A 24,485-nucleotide genomic window follows, 5' to 3' on the forward strand; every position below is an offset into this window, starting at 1 on the left:
TAAGTCATAGAACAAAAGAGATACAAACAAAACATACATTTATCCTGTCTTTTATATTTGCCTATGCAGTTACCTTTACCAGTGTTCCTTATTTCTTCATGTGGATCTGAGTTACTGTCTTTTAACTTCAATCTAAAGTTCTTTCAGTCTGAAAGACTGTATTTTATTTCTTGTAGGGTAGGTTAACTAATGATTAATTCTCAGTATTCTGAGATAAATTTCCCAGTTTATTTGAGAGTATCTTAATTTCTCCTTCAGTTTCGTAGAATAGTTTTTGCTGGATATAGAATTTTTGGTTTATAATCTTTTTCTTTCATGTTCAAATGTCATTCCCCTGCCTCTGACCTCTGGTTTCTGATGAGTAATCAGCTCTTGTTCTTTTGAGGATTATTTGTAATTGAAATGTCACTTCTCTTGCTGCTTTCAAGATTTTCTTTTTGTCTTTGGCTATGGATAGTTTGATAATAATGTGTATAGATGTAGATCTCTTTGAGTTTATCCTATATGAAGTATACTGAACTTCTTGGATGTGTAGATTCACTTTTTAAAATCAAATTTAGGAAGTTTGGGGTCATTGTTTTCTGAAATATTCTTTCCACTCCTTACCTTTTCTCCTCTCTTTCTGATCTCCCATTAAGCATATGTCCGTATGCTGGATGGTATTTTACAGGTCTCCGAGAATGTGTTCATTTTTCTTCATTTTCTTTTCTTTTCATCATTACACTGGATAATTTCCATTGACCTATCTTTACCTCCCTTGATTCTTTCTTCTGCTGTCTCAAATATGCTGTTGATCCTCTCCAAAAATTTTCATTTCAGTTATTATACTTTTCAACTTCAGAATTTCTATTTGGTTACATATGACTTCAGGGAACAAAGAAAAGTGACAGATCACAGAGAACAAACCAGTAACTTTGGAATCACGAGCAAAAAGTTCAAACCTACCGAGCCACAGATGAATGAGTTTCTAAATGCCTTGGATACCACCATCTCAGCTAAAATTAAATTCTGTCAATTTGCATCATAGTAGTATCACATTGCATGAGACTTTTTAAACTGCAAAAAGTTCACATGTGATTCTCAAGCCATATATGTCACGTCATGGGGAAACCTTTTAATTTTTTTTTTTTTTTTGAGACAGGGTCTTACTCTGTCACCCAGGATGTAGTGCAGTGGCGCAGTCTCTGCTCACTGCAACCTTCACCTCCCGGGTTCAAGCAATTCTCCTGCCTCAGCCTCCTGAGTAGCCGGGACTACAGAGTAGTGTACACCACTTTGCCCATCTAATTTTTATATTTTTGGTAGAGATGGGGTTTTGCCGTGTCTCCTAGGCTGGTCTCAAACTCCTGACCTCAAGTGATCCTCCCTCCTTGGCCTCCCAAAGTGCTGGGATTACAGGTGTGAGCCATCGTGCCTGGCCACCTTTTAAATCTTTAACTTCTGAAACTTCAAAGGTTCAGGTCCTCTCTGAGCTCTGCCATCAGCTGACTCATGGCTTTAGCTAGAACATTCACATCACTGGGACTGTTTTTCCCACCTGTCAAGTAAAGTTGCTGGACTGATCTTTAATGTCCTTTCCTGCCCTAATGTTTGATAGGTCTAACAGTTGCCATTTTTGATAGATCTGTAGAATAGAAATGATAATAAAAGAGAAAAATTAAACCAACCCCTTCTGCCATTTTTAACCTGATAAGAATTACTGAATTGCAGAAAAAGAACTCATCAAACTTAACAGGAACTCTTAATCCTGAGTGGATCTGCTACATCATTTTTTCACCTATGACGTTTATCTCTAACGGACATGAAAAGGACAAAATGAATCAGTGATGGCACAGAGCCAGCTGTGTAAAGATTTAGCCATATGGATAGTTAAGGAAAGCGGGTCTAACTGAGGTTAAAAACCAGTGAACCACCTCAAAATTAGATTCCTTTTTGGCTTCTTCTACTGATAATGGTGGTAAGGTAATCTTTGTTTTTTAGGTTTAGCTTGTTGAAACCATTGTCCATTTAGTTAATTAGGCCCTGATTTATATCCTTGGTAAAAGTAAATCTCCTCTTAGAAGTTGTTACTGGTACATGTGGATGGGTTTTCACCTCCTAGTTTTGAGTCATTCAGGTCATTCACTTCATAAGGGATTGGTCCAGTAAGCTGCATTTGTCAGTCTTCCAAATACCAGCATGTAAAGCTTGATCTTTTTTATTCTGTTTATCCTTGGTACTGCCAATTTATCTGAAAGATCAATGAGAACATAAAACGTTTTTCTGCTGTATTCTCACTTTTATTACATCTATAATAAAAATGTAATTTTGGTAAATAAGGGTGGTTCAGTTCATATCAGAAGTGTCTTTTTTTCATTATCTTCCCAGTAGCACCGAGAGCCAAAGTGTAATGTTTAGTTACACAGTGGTTTCCCAGTTTCTTGTTCCAATCTGCAAACTACAAGCAAAGTTTAACTAAGAGTGATCATTTTTCTCTATCTGCTTTAAATGGGATAAATATAAAGCCAGTAGCCATATATATATATATATGCATGTGTCTATATGCATATATATGTATACTTGCATACATATGTTTGTATATGAATACACGATTTTTTTACAGATAAAAATATTTTCTCTGATGTTTAGCTTTATGAAAATTTGACATATGAAAATATTCACATTTGCATTTCGGAAGAATGACATACTTCATGTTTAGTACCTTATGAGGCATACTTATGAATCATCCAGTAATAAAGCATTAAATAAGAATTTTTAGCCTCTGATAGGAAAAAATATTTGTCAAATACTCTGGAATACAATTTTTTTATAGAACTGAAAGACTATATACCTCAATTTGACTCTTAAAGAAAGGTTATTACATATTGTTAAAATAGATCTCATAATCATATCATTAATGAGCAACGTAGTGGTTCTCTGCATATATTCCAGCTTTTGTTGGATTAATGTGAAAATTCTAAGATATTACCCTGGTTTACATTTGAGAAAAGCTGTTACAAAAGACAGGCAACTAAATGTTTAATAGTCATATTGATCTTTATAATTTTGTGTATGTATTTAAGTTTACATAAAGTATAGTTTCTTAGCTTGCCCTTGACTAGTTTCTTTCAGTTTTTCATGTATGTGACTATACACTTCAGAATAAAATGGAAATATCTAGTTATACTTCATCAGGAAGTATGATTATGTTTTAGATAACATTGGACTAAAAAGTTTTATACTACACATCCAATGCATGCTGTAGGAAGTGTAAAAATGTATTCTCACAGTGAACACACAGGAGAAGCCCAGTGCATTGTTCTGGTAATTTCATTTGTAGTAACATGGCATGTTTATCTCTACAGGGGGATCTTTGGATGTATATAGGAAAATGCCAGAACATGTCCTTGGAAGAATTGCAGTAGCAGTAAGTATATGGCTTCAGTGTTAGGAAATTTGAGTGATTTAATCCTTCTAATCAAGCTCATTCTTCTTATATTCTCAATGTTTTTTCTTGTTCTTCAATCCCAGTTGGCTCCTAAGACCTTCTTGATTTTCTCCTGTTTTGTTCTTCTTTTCATAGACCAGCCCACCCAACATCACAACATAGTCACACGCTTATGTGCTCCAACCTGTTCTAGTTTCATGTGTTTGCAGGGACCTTGGTATTCTTGTTGACTCGTAAAATTTCCAACTTCTTCTGAAAAAAAAATGCTGTTTTTTGTTTTGTTTTTACATTTTGTAGTTATGATTAGCATATGATTAGCAAATACTTAAAAAGTCTGAGTTGTTAAAGCAGTCTATGAGAAAATATTAATTTATTAAGAACAAAGTAGTATTAGTAAAGATTTTTTGCAGTCTTTTTATGTTCTTGGTTTTTAATTTTTTCATCAACTACATCTAGAAATTTATTCCCTTTGTGATTTAAAGCAGTTTTCCCATATTCTTGTATTTTCTATATGCACTAATATACTGATGAAATATATAAACTAAACTAACATTACTATAATGTTCTCATAAGTTCCATATTTCACATTTATAATAATGTAGGTTAAACAGTGTCTAAGAGAAGTCATGGGGTGGTGTGATAGTAAACAATTGCTAAACTAAAGGCACGATGATAACTTCAGTGGTTTAATGCAGAACAAAGTGATTGTACCATGTACCATTTAATTAAATGGCTGATTTTCACATTCATTATACATCAAACTGACAACTCAAATTCTTTAATCGAACATGGACACTTATTTAGTCTTAGTTCATTGTAATTCACAGCTTTCCTTTTTTCTTTCTAATTATTAGTGTGAAGTGCCCTGGGTGATGAGAACTTTCTTTTCTGATGCTATTGCTCCTAAGTAGCTTCTCATCTACATGTGCAGGTAGATTAGTATGAAATTTGAGTACTTAAATCACTATTTTAGATGAAAATAAAAATGTTTCATTTCCTGTTCTAATCCCAGGAGAGAATGAATGCTTTGTGGCTTTTGGCAGTTCTTGGCTGTAAAGTTTAATAACATGTATAATAAAGGGCAAAAAAAGGCAAGGATACCAATTGAAAAAGAAAAAAGTATACAACTTCTATATATTCAGTTATCTATGGAACTTGGCAAAAATAGAAATCTGCCATCTTCAGTAGAGAAGCATGTTCTTCCTGAACTTCATAAATCTTACTTCCCTCTTGTTTAGGGCATCCACACAAGGCCACCTATCTTTTCAGTTCTACTGGAGTAGGAAGACTGTTGAAGTGAATAGAGTCAGCAGAAAAAATAATTCAGCATCAAATACAGGGCTTGCCTATTAAGTGAATGAAAATGTGACACAAATTATTTTAGTGAAAGGCATTAAAGTAAGAGCTACTCTGAAGGATTGTTTATATTTGCCTTTACATTTTTTTTAATTAGGGGTTTTCCCCCCTAAATATGTGTCCAATTTTTCCAGCTTTTATGGCTCATCAGGTCATAGTAATGAAAACTACTTACAGCTGGAGTAGAAGAAATGTTTTTTAATAATTTTGCTCTTTGTCTGCCACGGAAATGATCACCTCCATGCTAAATTCTGCAGGAGCCTGGGTTTGTATAATGCCTCCAAAATGTAGTGTTTTTTTTGTATGTTTCCTGAGTAGGCTACAAATTTGGATTATCATTTGTTGCAGCTGACAAACACCAGATTGGCCCATGGCTAATACCTGGCACCAGGAGGGTTGTACTAGTCAAAATAAGACTAGCAAATTGATGGGCTGTGGGCTGTGGTGTGTAAACTAAATATTCCCATAGTCTGATTGTGATCCCAGTATCCTTGGTCATTTCTCTGAAAGTGTACTGAAGATGGCATCAACATCTTTCCCTTGAGTTCCCTCATGGAGGCCAAGAAAACACAAGGGTGCCATTGCCAAGTCAAAAGCAACAGAATCAGAAACAGAGAGTAGGGAAATAGGTGTATATTGAATACTTCCTGTGCCAATCACTGTTGCATGCTTTCTATACAAATATTATGTCATTTAGCCTTTACAGCCACCTTGTAAAGTGTGGATTATTGAACATACTCTGTGCACATGCAAGATGAGGTTTGGAAAAGTTAACCAGCTTGCCCAGAGTTATCATCTAATTAGTCAGTACAAATTTGAACACAGGGCTGTCTGACACCAGACCTCTTGCTTTCTCAGTGTGTTTTCCTAACAGAATGAGAAAAAAAAAAAATAGAGGCAGGAGTGGAAGAAAGAGCTAGGCTAAAAAATAAAAAGAGAGACTTATGAATGAGAGAATAGTGGAGCAACACAATTGCTTCAGATTCTTTTCATGTCTTTAGGTATCTCTCTTTTCCCAAATTAACTTTATTTTCCAGGGTCTAATAATCTGGCCATGCAAGGCAGGTTCATAGGTCCAAGGTTCATTACAGCATGGACCTCTGTTGACCTCTGTGATATGTTATTCAAATTTTTTCTTGTAAAATGTATGGCAAGAGAGTTTTTTTTTTCCCCCAAAGGAATTTATATATACCTGATTTCAGCCTTCCAGCTTACTCAGTGGCTCAGTGGTTTTTCTCTACTATCCATTTGAATCTGGTCTTCTATAAAGAGGAATGCCTTTCTGCCTTTCCCTGCCACCTAACACATTCTATTTTTCTTCTCATTTCTGAAGCAGTGACATTGTGTACTGTATTTTGAGTGCTAATGTTGATTGAAGTTGTCCCTGAAAGGAGGTGCACTTGACATGTCAAGGAGCGAGTGATTGACAACAGATATAAGTACTTTTAGTGTCAAGGCTTTGTCAAGTCATCGTTGTGAAACCCAGCCTACTGAATACCAATAATATCCTTTAGATTTTCAGTTCACAGATTTCTAGCTCCTTTTTCACCAGAATTTACATGTTTCTAAAGGAAAATGTAGTGTATTTTGACAAAGAATAAGAATATTTTCTTTTTAAATCTCTAACAAAATGAATAATTTTAGCAAATATTATAAAATCAGTATTTGTTTTACTTTTTTCTACCTAACTATCAGAATATATTGGATTGCCTTCCCCTACATGTTTTCTGAAAATTCATTTTGTATGGAACCAATTTTTAGTGGTGAGCTATCTTTAATGGATAGTTTTTATAACATGCAGCTAAGCTTCTAAGTTGAAAATTTTAACCCTTCTTCCTCAGAATGGAGATGATCACCTCCATGCTAAATAAGATGACCTCCTCCTATTACTCAAAGAGAAAATTGTTATCGTTATGGATGTTAATTTTTATAAACATTTAAAGAAATATTTTTGTTATATTTCCTTCTGTGATAAACTTATCATTATTAATATTTTGATATTTTCTTTCTGTATTGTCTTCCTGTCCAGAATACATGTGTTTTATTGTAATGCCAGTTATTTCCAAACTGTGGAACAAGTCATTTGCTATAAAAATGTATGCTGTTCTCTTAGAATAGACAAACATATACTAGAATTGATGAATCTATGTTAGCAAATCTTTCAGGAGCACATTGCACCCTTTGAGAACAATTAAAATATGTTAACTTCTGCTCAGTATTAATTGATATAGATTTTGTCTTCTAGATCTTTAGTATTTGGGAATTGGCTTTCTCCCATTGCATTTCTTATTTCACAGTTGCTCTTAGGCTTCCTTGATCAACTAGAATTCTTGCATATTTAGCCCCTAACCTTTTCTTACCATTTTCAAGATATGTAAACGACTCATTTACTTCTCATGGGTAATGATAGGTTTTCTTGTTCTTATAGTCCTGACTTACCCAGAATTCTCTATAGTGATGAATACTTGTAAATCTTACAGTAAATTTTGACCAATAGTGATTTGTTCAGTGTATCTGGTGTCTAATTATGAATAGTCAACCTTGAAATTGGTAAGTTCACGCTCATGTGCATATAGGATCAGTGGTTATGAATAAAACATGTACATTTCCTTTTATAGCAATTTATACATAAAGATTTTTTAAGTTTTTAATGGTGACCACTGATTAAATTTTCCACATAGAAGGTAGTACTTGTCACCCATATACTTAGGGTCATGGAAACATCTTTTTTTCAGTATCTCATTCAACTAATTACTCTTAACTCAGGCTATGAGAGTGAAAAATGCAAATCTAATTCAGATGTTTGTATTTTCTCATTTTATTTCCTTGACCTGCCCTTTTAATACCTTGCCTTGTCAACATATATGCTTTGCACCAGCCAGACTGGCTTATGAGGACCATCTTGATATACTTCATTCTTTCCTGCCCCAATATACTTTATAAATTTGGGGGGAGCTTTTTATTTTGAGATTATTTTAAACTTACAGAAAAGTTGTGAGACTAATGCAAAAAATTCCCACAGATGCTTCACCCATATTCCCCAGTTGTTAAAAGTTTACCATATTGGGTTAAAAATCTATAAACATGTTTTTTCCTGAAACATTTGAGAATAAGTTACAGATATCACAGCCTTTATCCCCAAATATGTTAGGTATCTATTTCCTAAGAACAAACACATTATCTTACATAATCACTGATTAAAATCAGGAAACTAGTATCGATACAATACTGTTATCTACTCAACAGCCCTTATTCAAATTTCACCAATTGTCCAATAATACCCTGTATAGACAAAAGAAAAAAAATTCTGGTCCTACTCCAGTCTAGGATTATTCATTGCATTTGGTTGTCATGTCTCTCTAATGCCTCAGTGTTTGTCTTTCCTTACTTTGATATTTTGGAAGAGTACATTGCCCAGTACTTTGATTATATATTTTTACCTTGACCTAAACACTTCCTTTTCTTTTTTTCATTCAAGTTAAATCCGTTACTCAAGATGTAACACCTTAGTAAGCCTTTCTGACTCCTGATGGGAAAAGCAGTTTCTATTCTACCCACTGCCTTATTTCATTAGTTAACTTTTTAAAAATGTCTCTCCAGGCCAGGCATGGTGACTCCCACCTGTAGTCCCAGGGATTTGGGAGGCCGAGGCAGGAGGATCCCTTGAGGTCAGGAGTTCAAGACCAGCCTTGACAACAAAACAAGATCACATCTCTACAAAAAATATTTTAAAATTAGCAGGGTATGGTGGTGTGCACCTGTAGTCCCACCTACTCAGGAGGCTGAGGTGGGAGGATTGTTTGATCCCAGGAATTTGAGGTTACAGTGTGCTATGATTGCACCACTGCACTCCAGCCTGGGCAACAGAGTGAGATCCTGTCTCAGAAGAAAAGTTTCTCCTTGGTCATAAGTGTCATGACTTCAAAAAAAGTTTTACACACAGAAGTATAGAAAATTAAGAAAGCCATTTTCCCTTTTTCCTGTGTCTCTCCTTCCCTGGCTTAGCATCATTATGAATTCAGCATAGGTACTTCCAGATTATTTTATATACACATGCACTTATTTCTTTCATTTGGAGTACCTTATCTTCAGAAGATTATAAGCTCATTAAAGGTAGGAACCTGTGGCTTTTGCATTTGGTTTTCCCACAAAGCCTCACACAGAAATGGGAGGTGTTCAGTAAATGCTTATTGATTGACAGAGTTTTAAGGGAAGAGTTAGGCCAGGTGTGGTGGCTTACGCCTGTAATCCTAGCACTTTGGGAGGCTGAGGCAGGAGGATCACTTAAGCCCAGGACTTCAAGACCAGCTTAGGCAACATTAGTGAGATCCCTGTTTCTACCAAAAAAAAAAAAAAAAAAAAAGCTAGGCATGATGGTGCACACCTGTGGTCCCAGCTACTCAGGCAGCTGAGGTGGAAGGATTGCTTGAGCCCAGGAGGTCAAGGCTACAGTGAGCAGTGATTGTACCCCACAGCACTTCAGCCTAGGTGACAGGGTGACACCCTGTCTCAAAAAAAAAAAAATGTTGAATGTATTTAAATATGGAAAGTTCCTTTTAAAAACCATAATTGATAATTGTACTGTTTTCTTTTTCCTAAATTTAGGTTGTTAAAGGCCTTACTTATTTGTGGAGTTTAAAGATTTTACATAGAGGTATGTGCTGGGCTTATAAGCTTGGATTTAATTTGGGGTGGGGTTGGGTCTCTCCAGATACCTTGATTTTTAAAGTAAGTGTTCTGACATTTAAGCCAGCTGATACATCTGGTACTCAAAAAGATGGCTGCTCTATAAATGTTATTTTTCTTGTTTTCTCCATCAACTTCTCTCATTTAGATTATAAACTTGGTAGTGTGTTTTTGTGAATCACCTTTGTCAAACTTGTAAAAAGATATTTCATAGTATTTGAAAATAACAGGATCTTGTTTGTCTTACTTAACTATTGTTAATGCAAAACCTTTGCTTTCTGTACAATTACATCCTTCCTTCTATTAACATTTCAGATAGCATCACACACTGTTCCTTAAGAGATTGCTTCACATACTGGAAAGAAAAACTTTATTTTTAATTTTTTTAAAGATGGGGTCTTGCTCTGTTGGCCAGGTTGTTGTTAAACCCCTAGCCTCAAGCAGTCCTCCTACCTTGGCCTCCCAGAGTGCTAGGATTCAGGCGGGAGCCACCGCGCCTGGCCAAAAGTAAAACTTTAAATAAGTTATTGGTGAAAGCATCAGGAATAGTCCCCTTGTCTAGTAACAGAACACATGAGAGAATAATCAGATGAGTGTTGAATATTGCAAAAGGAATCTCCTTTTGTTTTTTTAATGTTCCCAAAATATCTGAATTCATTTGGAGCAAATTATTAAGTGAGAAAGAGACTATAACAAAGCAACTTCAAGGCCTAGTGTTACTAACAGTGCTGTTTAATTTTACACATCTGCTCATCTTAGCTGTATGTACATTTGGGGAATGGAACAGCATACACATTAGATGTGACTAAAGGAAAGTTTTTTCTTTTAAGGATATAAACTGTGAGATGGAGAAAACAACTGATATTTTCAACTGTGATGTCATATCTGTCACTAAGGGTTGTTTTCTTTTGTGGTGGTTTTAATATCCTAGTGATTCCACATTTCTTCTGAAATCCTCCTTTTTAATGAGGGTATCTAGATTTTGACAAATCAAATAGTCAGGTTTTTGAAGGTATTTAACTGACTAAATGGAATCATAAACTAGATTTATTTTTAAAGCCAGTCCACTCCATTTCTAGAGTATAGTTGGTGCGAAAGGTAGGTGTAGGGAGAGTGAGTTTTGTTAGTGTTACTTTCTCTGAGTATAAATAAGTGTGTAAACAAATTTGGTGGATGAAAAAAAATTGAACATTTTTGACTACCAAGAGTAAGAGATAACAGTATTCAACATGATATAACTTATATTGTTTCTATTCCCTGTACTCCTACCTCCGCACACCCAGCTACCGGTAAAGTGGTGATAGCCATTTTAATAAGAATTAACCCAATGGTCAGTTCTCAAAATTTTATTGATTCTTTAAAAAATGGACATCTATCCATTTGACAAAAGAACTAAAGGAAAAACATCCATTCTTAATAGTAAAGCTTTCTTTAAAAGGGCAGTGCCATGGAAATTCGAGTGTTGTTAGAAAGTGAGTGTTAGGATCATCCTGTCTCTGGGCATACAGGTTAATTCTGGCTTGTAATGAAATCCCTCTCTAGCTATAACTTTGTGCAAGGAATCTTAGTAGCACAAAGAACTATAGTGGATAGGGAAATATGTTTTAGTTATTCTGCCATTATCTTGATTTTTCTTCTTTAAAATTAGAAATCATGCTGATAAGTTGATGTACCTTTTGTATTCCTGTATCTAAATTTTTTTATTTTAATTTTTACTCTGGGTTTGGGAGAAATAACTAAATTTTTCATTTGAAATGGGATCTTGATAGACATGTTTCAGATGGATTTGTCTGGATCTAAAAATAATGTCTAGGGTCAGATTCTCACTATAAACCACTTCATGATCACTGTGGCCAAGCTTGGTTGACCAGAGACTCTCAGAAGCCAGTAGGTCCTTCTTTTCATCCCTGGTTGCAACTTGGGCTAAGAAAGGGCTTTTTCGTTAGTGACGGACAAGGGCTGCAGTGGTTTGACTGATGGAGAGCATAGAGGTTTCAAGAGGGAATCCTGGGCCTGTACTTACTTTTTCAGTTGGTGCTGGCCAGCCCAATTCCTACAGAGAGTAGCCTGCTATAAAATGCCACCTGTTGTGAGAAGAAGATATCTGTTGGGGACACAGTAGGAACAGTGGTAGAGGGCTGACAAGTCCTTTCAAGGAATTTCAGTGAATGAGTGTGCACCTACATCTGTCTCAATGGAAAGACTAACGAATTGCAGTGCAGATGAACAGTTATGTCCCAGTAGTTATGGCCACTCAACTACAGAAATAAATATCCTGTGGTAATACACCTCATTAAATATATTCATATTTAGCTTTTGAGTTTCCCAGCTATTCATGGAAACTTTTACCTTCTGGACTTAAAAGCATGTGTTTTTACTGAAGCGTCAAAGAAGCCAGGTGTCCCTGAAGACTTTTGTAAAGCATTGTAATGAGAAATTTACCTTAGATTGAGTAGTTGTTAACTTAATATTTTAGAGGTTTTGTCCATATTTAATAACTTGGATTCCATAAAAATAAGATTAAAGATGCCTTTTTATTTACCAAAAAGCTATTTAATTTTCTTCTTGATTAAAAAATTGTAGCTTTTTAGATCAGTTCAATCAGGCAATTAAAGATCAGAGCTTTTAAGTTCAGCTAAGGCAATTAAATAGGTAATATACTTGTTTATGCACTTTTGCTATATAAGCTCATTGCTGTTCCTTCTTAAAAGCACATGTACTCATTTTTGCTTTCTCTAAATGAATGATGATGGGAATTCTAGCTGAACATGTGTCACATTGTCAAATCAAAAACAGGGGTCCTTCTGCAGGGGCTGGGGGAGCCTGGTTTAGGCATTGTGAGAGGACAGTGAAAAGAAGATGGTGAAAGAGAAATACTAATGAGTGATCTATACCTCTTCCTCCTTTGTCTTGGTCTAAGTACCTGTGTTGTCCTCTGATCATCATTTTCTAATGCCGTTCTTAAAAACCAGAGTAAAAAAAAAAAGAAATTGCTTTGTACTTATGGGCACAAATTTCAAAAGATTAAGAAATGGAGATGTGTTCAGTATCTAATGAGAAAAGAGAACAAACTATTTCTCGCATTTATATGGCTTCCTTGGAATACGGTGGTCCAGATTTTAGCTATAGAAAGTGTATAAATAAGTAGTATATTACAGAATTTATTAAACGTAGTTAATGGCTTCCAAACAAACTCTTGAAAACCTGGAGTCTCTCCCGTAGTTTATATCCAGTGAGGACTGTAGAGTAGAATGAAATCTGAGCAATAAGCAGCGGCAAACCACTCATCCCATGAGGCTTGTTAGTCTGGTAAAAGTTAGTTTATTTGATAGTATATTATGTTAACTGGAAATTGTTTTGGAAATTGAAGCACAGCAGTTGCTATTCATAATGGATCATCAAATGTTATATTCAGTCAGGTGTTACTATTGTTTATTTTGCTCTTTTTAAGATTTGGTTGAGATATATGTGCAGGGACTTTATAAACTATTGAATGCTAAGAATGTGGCATGTTTTTATTATAACCATGAATTAATCACTTTATTCAGTTAATAAGAATACACCACTCCAAAACCAAGCCAGGGAGAGAGTTTATTATACTTTATATTACTGAGTCAAAAATTATGAAAATCTTTTCTCTAAAATAAACCAAACGTGTGATAATTCCACATGAGGACATAATCATTAAAAATGTTTGAAATGCCCACCAAATTAACTACTGTGGAAAAGTTGTCTTTATTAAAAGGCATATGTGAGAGCACTATAAGCATAGCATGTGCTGACTATGGGTAAAAACAAAGAAAATGAACAGTGAGAAAATCTGTTAGGCCAGATCCGACATTACAGGAAACATCGCAGCTTCACTTCAAAACATACATCGCCACTAATGAGGTGAGAGCCCTGCATATTAATAAACCTACAGCTCCAGTCATAGCCATCATTACCCACATCAAACATAAATACAAGATTAACACCTATGCCATTTCTTGGGAAGATGTGAGAATGCCCTGGTAGTAACTGCTGTCTCTTTCCCTGAGGATAAAAAATAGAAATGCAAGGGTAATGAGAATAGAATTTAGATTAAGAAAATAAAATTGGCAATCATTCTGGGGCCATCTTACACAGATGCAGAAGTTTATAGAAGAAAAAAAAAACCTATATAGTTGGTGTGCCAGGAGTTTTTTTGTATATATGAACCTGGTTAGTTTCATTTACTTTCTCCAATAGGAGAACTTTTTAAAAATACGTTTTTGCAGAAATTCTGTAGGAAAATGCTGGCCAGATAGATTTGTGTTTAAAGAAACTAAGCCTTGTAGTTTCAGTATACATGTTACAAATTTTATTTTCTACCCTTGGCTTTTCTCTTTTATAAATCTGGCCTCACACAGACTTTCCAATTAGTGCTACCTTAGATACCAAAGCCAGTGTTAGTTTGATCATTGAGCAACTATTTATTTTATACCTACTACGTTCTAGGCGCTTTCACAGTACTTGAAACACATCAATATGTGAAACAAAAGATTTCTATGATCATAGAACTCATATTCTAGCAGTGATAGAGTGGGTTAGGAAACATTTCTTAAACAATAACATACATAATAAGTAAGTAAAATACGGAGTGTGTTAGAGGGTTGTTAATAATAGAAAAGAAAAAGTAGATTGAGGTTAGGGGAAGCAAAGGGTAGGTTGCGTATTAATCAAAGAAACCTCATAGGGAAGATGAGTTTGGGAGGAAGGCTTGAAAGGGGAGAGTTACTAGTCAAGTAGATATATGAGAAACAGTTAGAGTAGACACCACAGGATGTGCCCGGAGTGTTAGTGGAACAGCAAAGAGGCCAGTGTGTCTGTATCTGAGTGTGGGAGACAAGAGTAGAATCAGCTGTTAGGAAAATGTTTTGGTAATTCAGGTAAGTTTCAGGGGCCCAGATCAGGGAGATAGTTATAAAGATGGGGAGAAGTGGTGATTCTGGATATATTTTAAATGTATAGTTGATAGAATTTGCTGATGGATTGCTTGTGACTTTTAAGAGAAAGGCGTCAAGGTTGCTTAAATTGTTAACAGTTTAGTATGCTAAAAATACTTCTTGCTACTTTCTTTCCCTGAAAAGAGATAACAACAAAAAACCTGATAATATGAAGTGCTGACTAGAATACAGAGCAATTAGAATTCTCATACATTGCTGGTAGAAATATAAAATGGTACAGCTGCTTTGAAAAATAGTTTGACAATTTCTTGCAACATGATTCAGCAATCCCCTTCCTAGATATTTACCTAAGAGAAAGGAAAACATATGTCCACACAAAAACTTTAGGCAACTCTTTATAGTGGCTTTATTCATAATAGCTCCAAACTGGAAACAACCCAAGTGTCTTTCAGCTGGTAAATGGAAAAACAGACTGTAATACATCCACAGAGTGGAATATTACTCAGCAATAAAACAAGCTACTGTTACATGTAACAACATGGGTGAATATCAGATACTTCATGTTAAATGAAGGAGGTGACTCAAAGGGTTACCAGCTGTGTGATTCCACTTATATGACATTCTGGAAAAGGCAGAATACATACATGGAAAAAGCAAAATACAATTTTCCATCCTATGGGATGGAACATCAGCATCACTGGTTGACAAACAGTGGAGGAGGAGTTGACTGTAAAGGCATGAAGGAACATTTTGGTATGTTGGAAATGTTCTGTAGCTTGATTTTTGTGGTAGTTACATGGTTATATGTGTTTTTTAGCAAACAAAGACCTGTGCACCTGAAAAGGGTGAGTGAATTTTACTGTGTATAAATTATGCCTCAGTAAACCAAATTTTAAAATTAAAAAGTAAACCAGATTTACAGAGAAAAGCTCTTCTTACATCTTAGCAGTGCAGTAGACACTCTAGAAAGAAGTTTTCCCTGCCAAAAGGACAAACCATTCTTTCAAAGGGTCTTGGTGATTCTGTTATTGTTTCTGTATCTTCATGGTTCCTGACAAATCCTACCTAGGTTTGATCTAGTAACTCAGTAGCTTAAAAAACAGCCAGCCAACCCCCCCACCCCAAGAAAAAAAACCAACCCTTGTGATTTAAAGGATATCTACAATGCCAGAAAGAGAGAGACAGGGTCAGGGAAGGAAGGATAGTGGGAAGAGAAACAGAAACTTAGAAGTTGCTGTTATCATTGGCACAATTTGAAACATCTGGAAATTGGACAGTTCTTTCTGTAGTTAAGCCGATTTTTTTCCCCAGAGATATTACCAAGAACTGCGTATCTGCAGAGCTGACTTAACCTGTTGGACAATTTTAAAAGCTCAGTTTCTAAGAAGGAATAAGGCTTTATCTGACATTCCCAATTCAGTCCTACTGACTGACTGCCTCACTGGGTGACCCCAGAAAGGCAGATCACTCCTGTTCTCTTTGCCTCTGTTCCCTCATGTATACTATGAAAGAGTAGCTGGATGATCACTCAGATTTCTTCAAGAGCTAAGGTTCTGGGTTCTGTGATTTCCTGACTGAAGGAAGTGTGACCTGTTGATAAGGTGGGGAACAAAGAAAATCAGAGAGACATAAAAGAAAAGAAAGAGAAAAGGGAGGGGAGAATTTCCAAGAGTAGATTTTGTGATGAAAATAATAACAATAATGACTATTAAGCATGTACTCTGTACCAGGCACTGTTCTAGGTGCTTAATGTATATAAATTATTTAAGGTATTCCTTCAAAGTGGGAAATTCTAGGAAATATGAAATGTTTTAAAACTGAAGATAAGAGACTAAAGTATAAAACAAATAATTGAAAATTAAAGCTGTGTGCCTTAGCTAAGAAAATGTTGCTTTCTAAACCAGACTCATGTTATCAAATCAAAAGGCATCTTTAAGGGAAACTGTTTTTAAAGTATCAGGGACACTGAAAATGAAGTATTATAATTAATAAGGAATTATAATAAGGACATGTAAAGTCACAACTTGGATGGAAAGCAAGAACACGTTTTTTTTTCTTTTATTTTTATTATCATTATACTTTAAGTTTTAGGGTACGTGTGCACAATGTGCAGGTTAGTTGCATATGTATACATGTGCCATGCTGGTGTGCTGCACCCATTAACTCGTCATTTAGCATTAGGTATATCTCCTAATGCTATCCCTCCCCCCTCCCCCCACCCCACAACAGTCCCCAGAGTGTGATGTTCCCCTTCCTGTGTCCATGTGTTCTCATTGTTCAGTTCCCACCTATGAGTGAAAACATGTGGTGTTTGGTTTTTTGTCCTCATGATAGTTTACTGAGAATGATGATTTCCAGTTTCATCCATGTCCCTACAAAGGACATGAACTCATCATTTTGTATGGCTGCATAGTATTCCATGGTATATATGTGCCACATTTTCTTAATCCAGTCTGTCATTGTTGGACATTTGGGTTGGTTCCAAGTCTTTGCTATTGTGAATAGTGCTGCAATAAACATATGTGTGCATGTGTCTTTATAGCAGCATGATTTATAGTCCTTTGGGTATATACCCAGTAATGGGATGGCTGGGTCAAATGGTATTTCTAGTTCTAGATCCCTGAGGAATCGCCACACTGACTTCCACAATGGTTGAACTAGTTTACAGTCCCACCAACAGTGTAAAAGTGTTCCTATTTCTCTACATCCTCTCCAGCACCTGTTGTTTCCTGACTTTTTAATGATCGCCATTCTAACTGGTGTGAGATGGTATCTCATTGTGGTTTTGATTTGCATTTCTCTGATGGCCAGTGATGATGAGCATTTTTTCATGTTTTTTGGCTGCATAAATGTCTTCTTTTGAGAAGTGTCTGTTCATGTCCTTCGCCCACTTTTTGATGGGGTTGTTTGTTTTTTTCTTGTAAATTTGTTTGAGTTCATTGTAGATTCTGGATATTAGCCCTTTGTCAGATGAGTAGGTTGTGAAAATTTTCTCACATTTTGTAGGTTGCCTGTTCACTCTGATGGTAGTTTCTTTTGCTGTGCAGAAGCTCTTTAGTTTAATTAGATCCCATTTGTCAATTTTGGCTTTTGTTGCCATTGCTTTTGGTGTTTTAGACATGAAGTCCTTGCCCATGCCTATGTCCTGAATGGTAATGCCTAGGTTTTCTTCTAGGGTTTTTATGGTTTTAAGTCTAACGTTTAAGTCTTTAATCCATCTTGAATTAATTTTTGTATAAGGTGTAAGGAAGGGATCCAGTTTCAGTTTTCTACATATGGCTAGCCAGTTTTCCCAGCACCATTTATTAAATAGGGAATCCTTTCCCTATTGCTTGTTTTTGTCAGGTTTGTCAAAGATCAGATAGTTGTAGATATGCGGTGTTATTTCTGAGGGCTCTGTTCTGTTCCATTGATCTATATCTCTGTTTTGGTACCAGTACCATGCTGTTTTGTTTACTGTAGCCTTGTAGTATAGTTTGAAGTCAGGTAGCATGATTCCTCCAGCTTTGTTCTTTTGGCTTAGGATTGACTTGGCAATGCGGTCTCTTTTTTGGTTCCATATGAACTTTAAAGTAGTTTTTTCCAATTCTGGAACACTTTTTTTTTTAATCTTTTTGTTGTGAAACAATGGTAGATCCACCGGAAGTTGCAAAAAAATGCACAAGACAGTCCCATCTAAGGGCATCCTTTTTAAGGAAGGAATTTTGAAGAAAATGGGAAGGTGAGAGGGTAACAGTTCAAAATAGTGTAGGCAGGTAAATGTTATATATTTGATATTGTCCTTTAAGTGAAATCAGTATAAATTTTAAGATTAAAAATGTTATAAGAATATTTGTATTATATTCCAAAATTATTTTGTTATATTTATTAAATGGGAAAAGAGAAATGGTTTGGTAGAGGTAAAACGTTTGAATTCCTTAGGAAAGAAATTTTGATGTCAAGGTGGTAGTTAAAATAGTATGTTAGTGTGTGTAAAAGTTGGGATTTGGGGCAAAAATAAATTAGGGAATGATTATTTTCTGGATAAAGTGATTCTTAAACAAAAGAATTCTTGGAAAGTATTGCTATCAATAGAAAACTAACCTGATTAATTTTTAATGATTTATTAAAAGATAATTTGCATAAAGCTTTGTAACAATCTGTTTTTTTGCAGAGATCTACATAGTTTGTGATTAACTATATACATTATAGTGAATTTTTAAATAACCTATGACATATTTTTGCTTTCTGGAGGATCAGTTTTTGTTTGTTTGTTTATTTTTTTGAAACAGAGTCTCACTCTGCCGCCCAGGCTGGAGTGCAGTGGCACAATCTCGGCTCACTGCAACCTCCACCTCCCAGGTTCAAACGATTCTCCTGCCCCAGCCTTCCAAGTAGCTGGGAGTACACACACGTGCCTCCATGCCCGGCTAATTTTTGTATTTTTAGTAGAGACAGGGTTTCACCATGTTAGCCAGGCTGGTCTCGATCTCCTGACCTTGTGATCCACCCGTCTCGGCCTCCCAAAGTGCTGAGATTACAGGCATGAGCCACCGTGCCCGGCCCCAAACACTTTTTTAAAAGAACTGGTTAGTGCTTGAGTAACCCAAGTAAATTTAAAAGGAGTCATTCCCAGTAGGTTTTATGTTGCCATGTGTAATGATGAGAGAGCTAGTATGTGCGTTCTTCCTTCCCTGAGCTCTCAGGCTGTTTAATCAGATGGGTCTGGAAGGAGGCATTTATGTTATACAAGTGCTAGTGTTGAGAGCACAGTTAACATCCTATCTCCTGTGTAAAAATCATTTCCATATTGTCCTTTAAATATAATAAATATTAATCACATCCAGCGCTATAGTAGATTATAACTTGTGAATGTGTATGTTTTTGAAAAGAAAAAAAAAGACTTAGCCCATTAACAGGGTAAACAAACTCTGACTCTAGGTTGTTGGTTTTTCTCCAGCTCTGACACTATCCACACAAATGAACATCTCGAGAAATTAAGCCTCTTTCCCCATATTGGTCATTCATTCTATTTACCTTGGGTGATCACAGGGTATTTCTGTATTTGCAGTATGTTGTGATTTTCAAGAGATCAGAAACGCTACATGTCTTAAAAGTATTCTTTTAAAAGAATATGTGCCTAGAATATATAAAGAACTCTCAAAACTCAATGGTAGAAAAACAAACAATCCAATTAGAAAATGGGCAAAGACATGAAGAGACATTCCACTGAAGAGTATACACAGATGGCAAATAAGCACATGAAAAAGATGTTCAATATCATTAGGCTTTAGGGAAATGCAAATTAAAACCACCATGAGATATTACTATATACCTATCAGAATGGCTAAAATAAAAAATAGTAACAATAGCAAATGAGGATGCAGAAAATTGGATCACTAATACATTGCTGGTAGGAATGTAAAATGATACAGCCCCACTGCTGACATTTAAAAAAAAGAGAAAGAAAGCTAGACATGCCACTACCGTATGACCCAGCAATTGCATTCCTGGGCATTTATCCCAGAGAAATGAAGACTTCTGTTCACACAAAAACCTGTACGCAAGTGTTTATTGCAGCTCTATTCATCATAGCCAAAAACTGGAAACAACTCAGATGTCCTTCAACAGGTGAATGGTTAAGCAAGCTGTGGGCATTCATACCATGGATTACTGCTCAGCAATAGAAAGGAGCGAACTGTTGATGCCCACAACCTAGATGAACCTCCAGATCATTATACTGAGTGAAAAAGCCAGTCACAAAGGTTACATAGTGTATGATTCCATTTGTATAATATTCTTGAGATGACAAAATTATAGAAATGGAGAGAGCACATTAGTGGTTACCAGGGGCTGAGAGGATGGGAGACAGAGGGAATGTTTACAATGGAGCAAGATGAGGAATCCTCATGGTGATGGAAATGTTCTCCATCTTGACTATCAGTGTCAATACCCTGGTTGTGATACTATACTACAGTTTTATAAGATGTTACCATTAGGGGAAACTGGGTGGAGTGTACACAGGATGTCTCTGTATTATTTCTTACCATTGTAAATGTAAACTTTGAGATAACTGTGTAAATCTATAGTTATCTCAAAATTAAAAGCTTAATGTAAACAACAAAAAAAGAATATATCATCTTTCTGTAGTTACCTGTATTCAGAAGGTCAGCTTAATCAGAGAAGGTTGTCCTGGACTTAGTTTTTCTCTCTCCCATGCTTCTGTGGTAGGATTTGATCATAGGCAGAGTCATCCCTTTTAGGAAATCAGTAAGAGGGAAATTACCCTCTTCCATTCTGAAAATGAGTATCAATGGAAGCCTTAGAGGAGAAATAAGGAAAGACGTCGTGTGTCATTCAAGGAACAAATGCAAATGGAAGAGGATAGTTATTTCCCCAGTCCCCACCTCTAAAAGCCTTCTGACTTGCAGGGGATTGGGATTTGAAGCAGACTGTGTGATCGTTGTGTGTTTTGGCTCACCAGTCTCTATAGTATCCATTAGGGTAAGCTTCTATCCAACCACCCAGCAAGATGCCCCCAGTGTGTGGATGAGTGTTTGATTCACCAAGCCCCGCAGTTAGCTCTGATCATTGCTTTGTCTCTGACACAAACCTGAAGTTTAGGAGCTTATCAGAGGGAGAGAGAGAGCACCTGTATGATGAATGACAGGGTCATTTCTGTTGGTAGAGGAGTTTATGGCATTGATTGTATGCCAGTGGATATTTGTTGGATGAATACATTGAATCATAATTTTCTGAGGGCAGTGTTTTTCTCCTGGAACTTTTTATAATGTGGCTAAATTGGAAGTCATCTTTTGTTCCCCTTTCTCGTATTAAAGTAAGAGATTTATCCTTGGGACATTTTGCCAAGCAGAATGGACAGACAGCTTTAGCAGTTGGAAGAGCTCTCCATGTCTCTTCCTTTCTCTAAAGGCATGGTTGAAGGTGATCAGCACCATGGAAATCAAATCTACTCTTTTGCTGGTGGAAGATTAAGTTCCTTCTGGATTGGGTACAATCATAATGATAACAATATTAATCATTTTCCTAATATCATTTATTGAGTACCTTGTATGTGCTACAGTGTTAGCTCTCTTGTATGTATAATTTTATTTAATTGTTATAATAACCTTGTGAGGAGGTATCATTGTATCTCCATTCTTAGGTGAAGCAATCAAGGCTCAAGCAGCCTAAAAAACTTGCTTAGTTATAGGAAAAGTCATAGGAAAAAGTCATAGGAAAGTGGTTGGTGGCCTAATGGAAAAGCTCTAGTATGAGGGTCAGACCCAGGTTTAAGTTCTGGTTCTTCCTCTTAATTCATCTTAGCTATGTGACCTTGGGTCAGCTTCTTAACTTCTTTGAGGTCATAGCATTGTACCTGGCATATAACAGCTATTATTATGTCAAATAATTATTTCTCAAGAAAAGAAGCAAGAGGTTAAATGAGAGGGAATAGTTAGAACGTTCCTCACACTTTCCTGTTAACATCTCCTTTTCTTAGAAAATTAGCCTGTGAGTATAAAGAACTTAAAACATCTGGGCTATTTTCTTTGTGAACTTCCCAAGATCACCCAACTATTCACTGCCAAAGCTGGGATAATCCATCCTATTAGTTCCAATAAGATTTAGCTCATAAATATAATGCAGTTTGTTAAGGCTTAAGAGCTTTACTAGTCGAAGCCTCTAGTTTTGTGTCCTTGGGCAAGTAATTTCATTAATTTGAACCTCAATTTCCTCCTCTGTAAAATGGGGTTAATAATAGTACCTATCTCAAGGGTTACAATGAGAATTAAATGAGGTAATGCATATGATAATAATGCACTTAGCCCAGTTCCTGGTATATATTAAGTGCCAAGTAAGTGTTATCTACCATAATTTTTTGTTATTTCTTTAAAACAAATTACCAGGATTAGTCTTCGGGACACACCGCTCCAAGTCAAGTCTGCTGTCTTACATCTTATTTATGCATATAATGTGGTATTCCTTTGTTTTCTTTCCTTTTTCCCCAAAAATGTTTTATAGTCAAGAGGAGTCTTAACAGTCAGTGGTATCTTAGACTTGGGGAAGTAGGTTGTGCAGGAACACATTCCTCCAGACCTGGCTTTTCCTAAACACTGACCAGAATATGTACACATCACAGGTAGGAATCTAAGATTCACCACTTTAGAAGGAAATCTCTTTTACTTACTATGAAAGGATTAAGAGAGGGAGAATTGAGAAGCTCAGGCCTTTTTGCCCTTGTTATTAATCTTGTAAGTGTCCCAGGTACCCTGCCTTTATTGAAGAAGGAAAGGGCACGTTTGTTGCCTCCATTCTGAACCGAATCATGAGACTCCAGGCAATAACTGCCATTGAGGATGGCTAATTATGCTGTTTAATTTTATTTAAGGCCTTTGCAAGAATATTTGGATGACCTACCCTTTCTTATGTGATGGAGTCATTAGAATAACTTTTATATTGCAATGTGGTTTTCTCTTAAGTATGTTCCCGTTGTGCACAGATGAATTTGTAATGCAGAACGTCAGCATAGTCTATACTTAATTGTACCTGCTGTTCTCATTCATTAGAATGCAGTCCCCAATAAATAACTAGATAGATATATTGTTTTTTTTCTTTTCATAAGACAATTAAACATAATGAAAGAGCATTGCTGAAGATCCCAGGCACAGTGCTAGGAGAGGTTGCTAGGAGTGGAGACCGGCTAATGTGCCCTCTGGCTCCTGGTAAACTGAGAGTGGCTTCCTGGTATTCACACAGTGTAATTGCTTTATAGGGGGAAAAAGTTGAAGAGAAGTTTATTTCTGCCTCCATTGTCATCCCACAACAGCCACATGCCACATTTAAAAATGTTTCTGTAACAATTGTACCATGCCTGTTTCTAAGAGCATTCAGTGAGACATGTAAAAGTTCAGAGCAAATTAAATGTTTAAATATGAAACAAAGACCAAAAGGAAGTAGAAGTTGGAGATACCAACAGCACCTGATGTGAATAGGTCACAACAAAAAGGGAATCCTCAATTGGTATGGTTTTTCTTTTCTGGCAAAAGAAAGCATATAGCTGATACAAAAATCACAATTTTCTTTAGAACTGATCTTACCAGACACCGGGCACAGTGGCTCACGCCTGTAATCCCAACACTTTGGGAAGCCGAGGCGGTAGGATCATGAGGTCAGTAGTTTGAGACCAGCCTGGCCAATATGGAGAAACCCCATCTCTACTAAAAATACAAAAATTAGCGGGGCATGGTGGTGAGCACCTGTAGTCCCAGCTACTCAGGAGGCTGAGGCAGGAGAATTGCTTGCACCTGAGAGTCGGAGGTTGCAGTGAGGTGAGATCGTGCCACTGCACTCCAGCCTGGCAACCGAGTGACACTGCATCTCAAAAAAAAAAAAAAAAAAGAACTAATCTTACAAGGAAATTACCGTTTGGGTCCCTATACAAAGCACATTAAGTAACTCCAACTGTAGTTTTGTGAAGGAGCTTTTATTTGTTTTGAACAGCCCCCTCGGCACCCAGCCAGATCCTAGCCAAGGGTAACCTCCCACCCTGACCCCTGATTGTGCTGGGGGCAGGGGCTGGGCAGTGGGCGGAGGAGCCCTTTTGTGAAGATGTTGGGAAAGCACATGCTCTTGAGGCTCTGGCCTTTATTAGCAAGCTTCTGCTTGATGCTGTTTATGTGGATTGTTTAATGGCTAATTGATGCAGAATGTGTAAAGATACAGTTTCCTGCGTGAGGCAGTTATGGGTGGCAACATGGGTTGTCTCAACACGATACCAATTTCCACAGTCAATTTGGCCAATTCAGTGGGGGGAAAAAATCAGTCCAGCCTGAAAATCAGAGCAGCTACTTGCGGTTATTGAGGCAACTATGGTTGGTGGACCAAATTTTTCATGTTTGAATCAGTTGTTTTTACATTTTATAGACATAGCCTTACTCATTTCTTGAAATAATCTTAAATACACAAAAGTAACATTTTAAAATTAATATCTTTCTTTAAATATTTGTAATTGCGGTTTATCAGGCCTAGAGCATATCAGTTCTAAGAGGAAATAACCATTTTACCATTGATATATAGTATATGTAATTAACTGATCTTTCATACTTTGTTAT

At 36.3% G+C, this 24,485-nt stretch overlaps 1 protein-coding gene across 8 annotated transcripts in view; it reads left to right on the forward strand.

Annotated features, from left to right (window-relative positions):
* MAP2K5 (mitogen-activated protein kinase kinase 5) overlaps positions 1-24,485 on the forward strand; it is a 264,412-nt gene that overhangs the window by 112,506 nt on the left and 127,421 nt on the right. For 5 of the 8 annotated variants that reach the window (NM_145160.3, NM_002757.4, XM_011521788.4 and 2 more), the window contains exons 12-13: positions 3,345-3,406; positions 9,389-9,437. In NM_145160.3, coding sequence (NP_660143.1) covers positions 3,345-3,406; positions 9,389-9,437 — 111 coding nt within the window. Of the gene's footprint in view, positions 1-3,344; positions 3,407-6,116; positions 9,075-9,388; positions 9,438-15,211; positions 24,482-24,485 lie in introns of those variants that run through there. The other 3 variants (XM_011521787.4, XM_017022414.3, XR_007064474.1) reach the window with 3 other exon arrangements.

The sequence above is a fragment of the Homo sapiens genome, chromosome 15 (genome assembly GCF_000001405.40).
Source record: "Homo sapiens chromosome 15, GRCh38.p14 Primary Assembly".
In the NCBI taxonomy this organism is placed as follows: domain Eukaryota; kingdom Metazoa; phylum Chordata; class Mammalia; order Primates; family Hominidae; genus Homo; species Homo sapiens.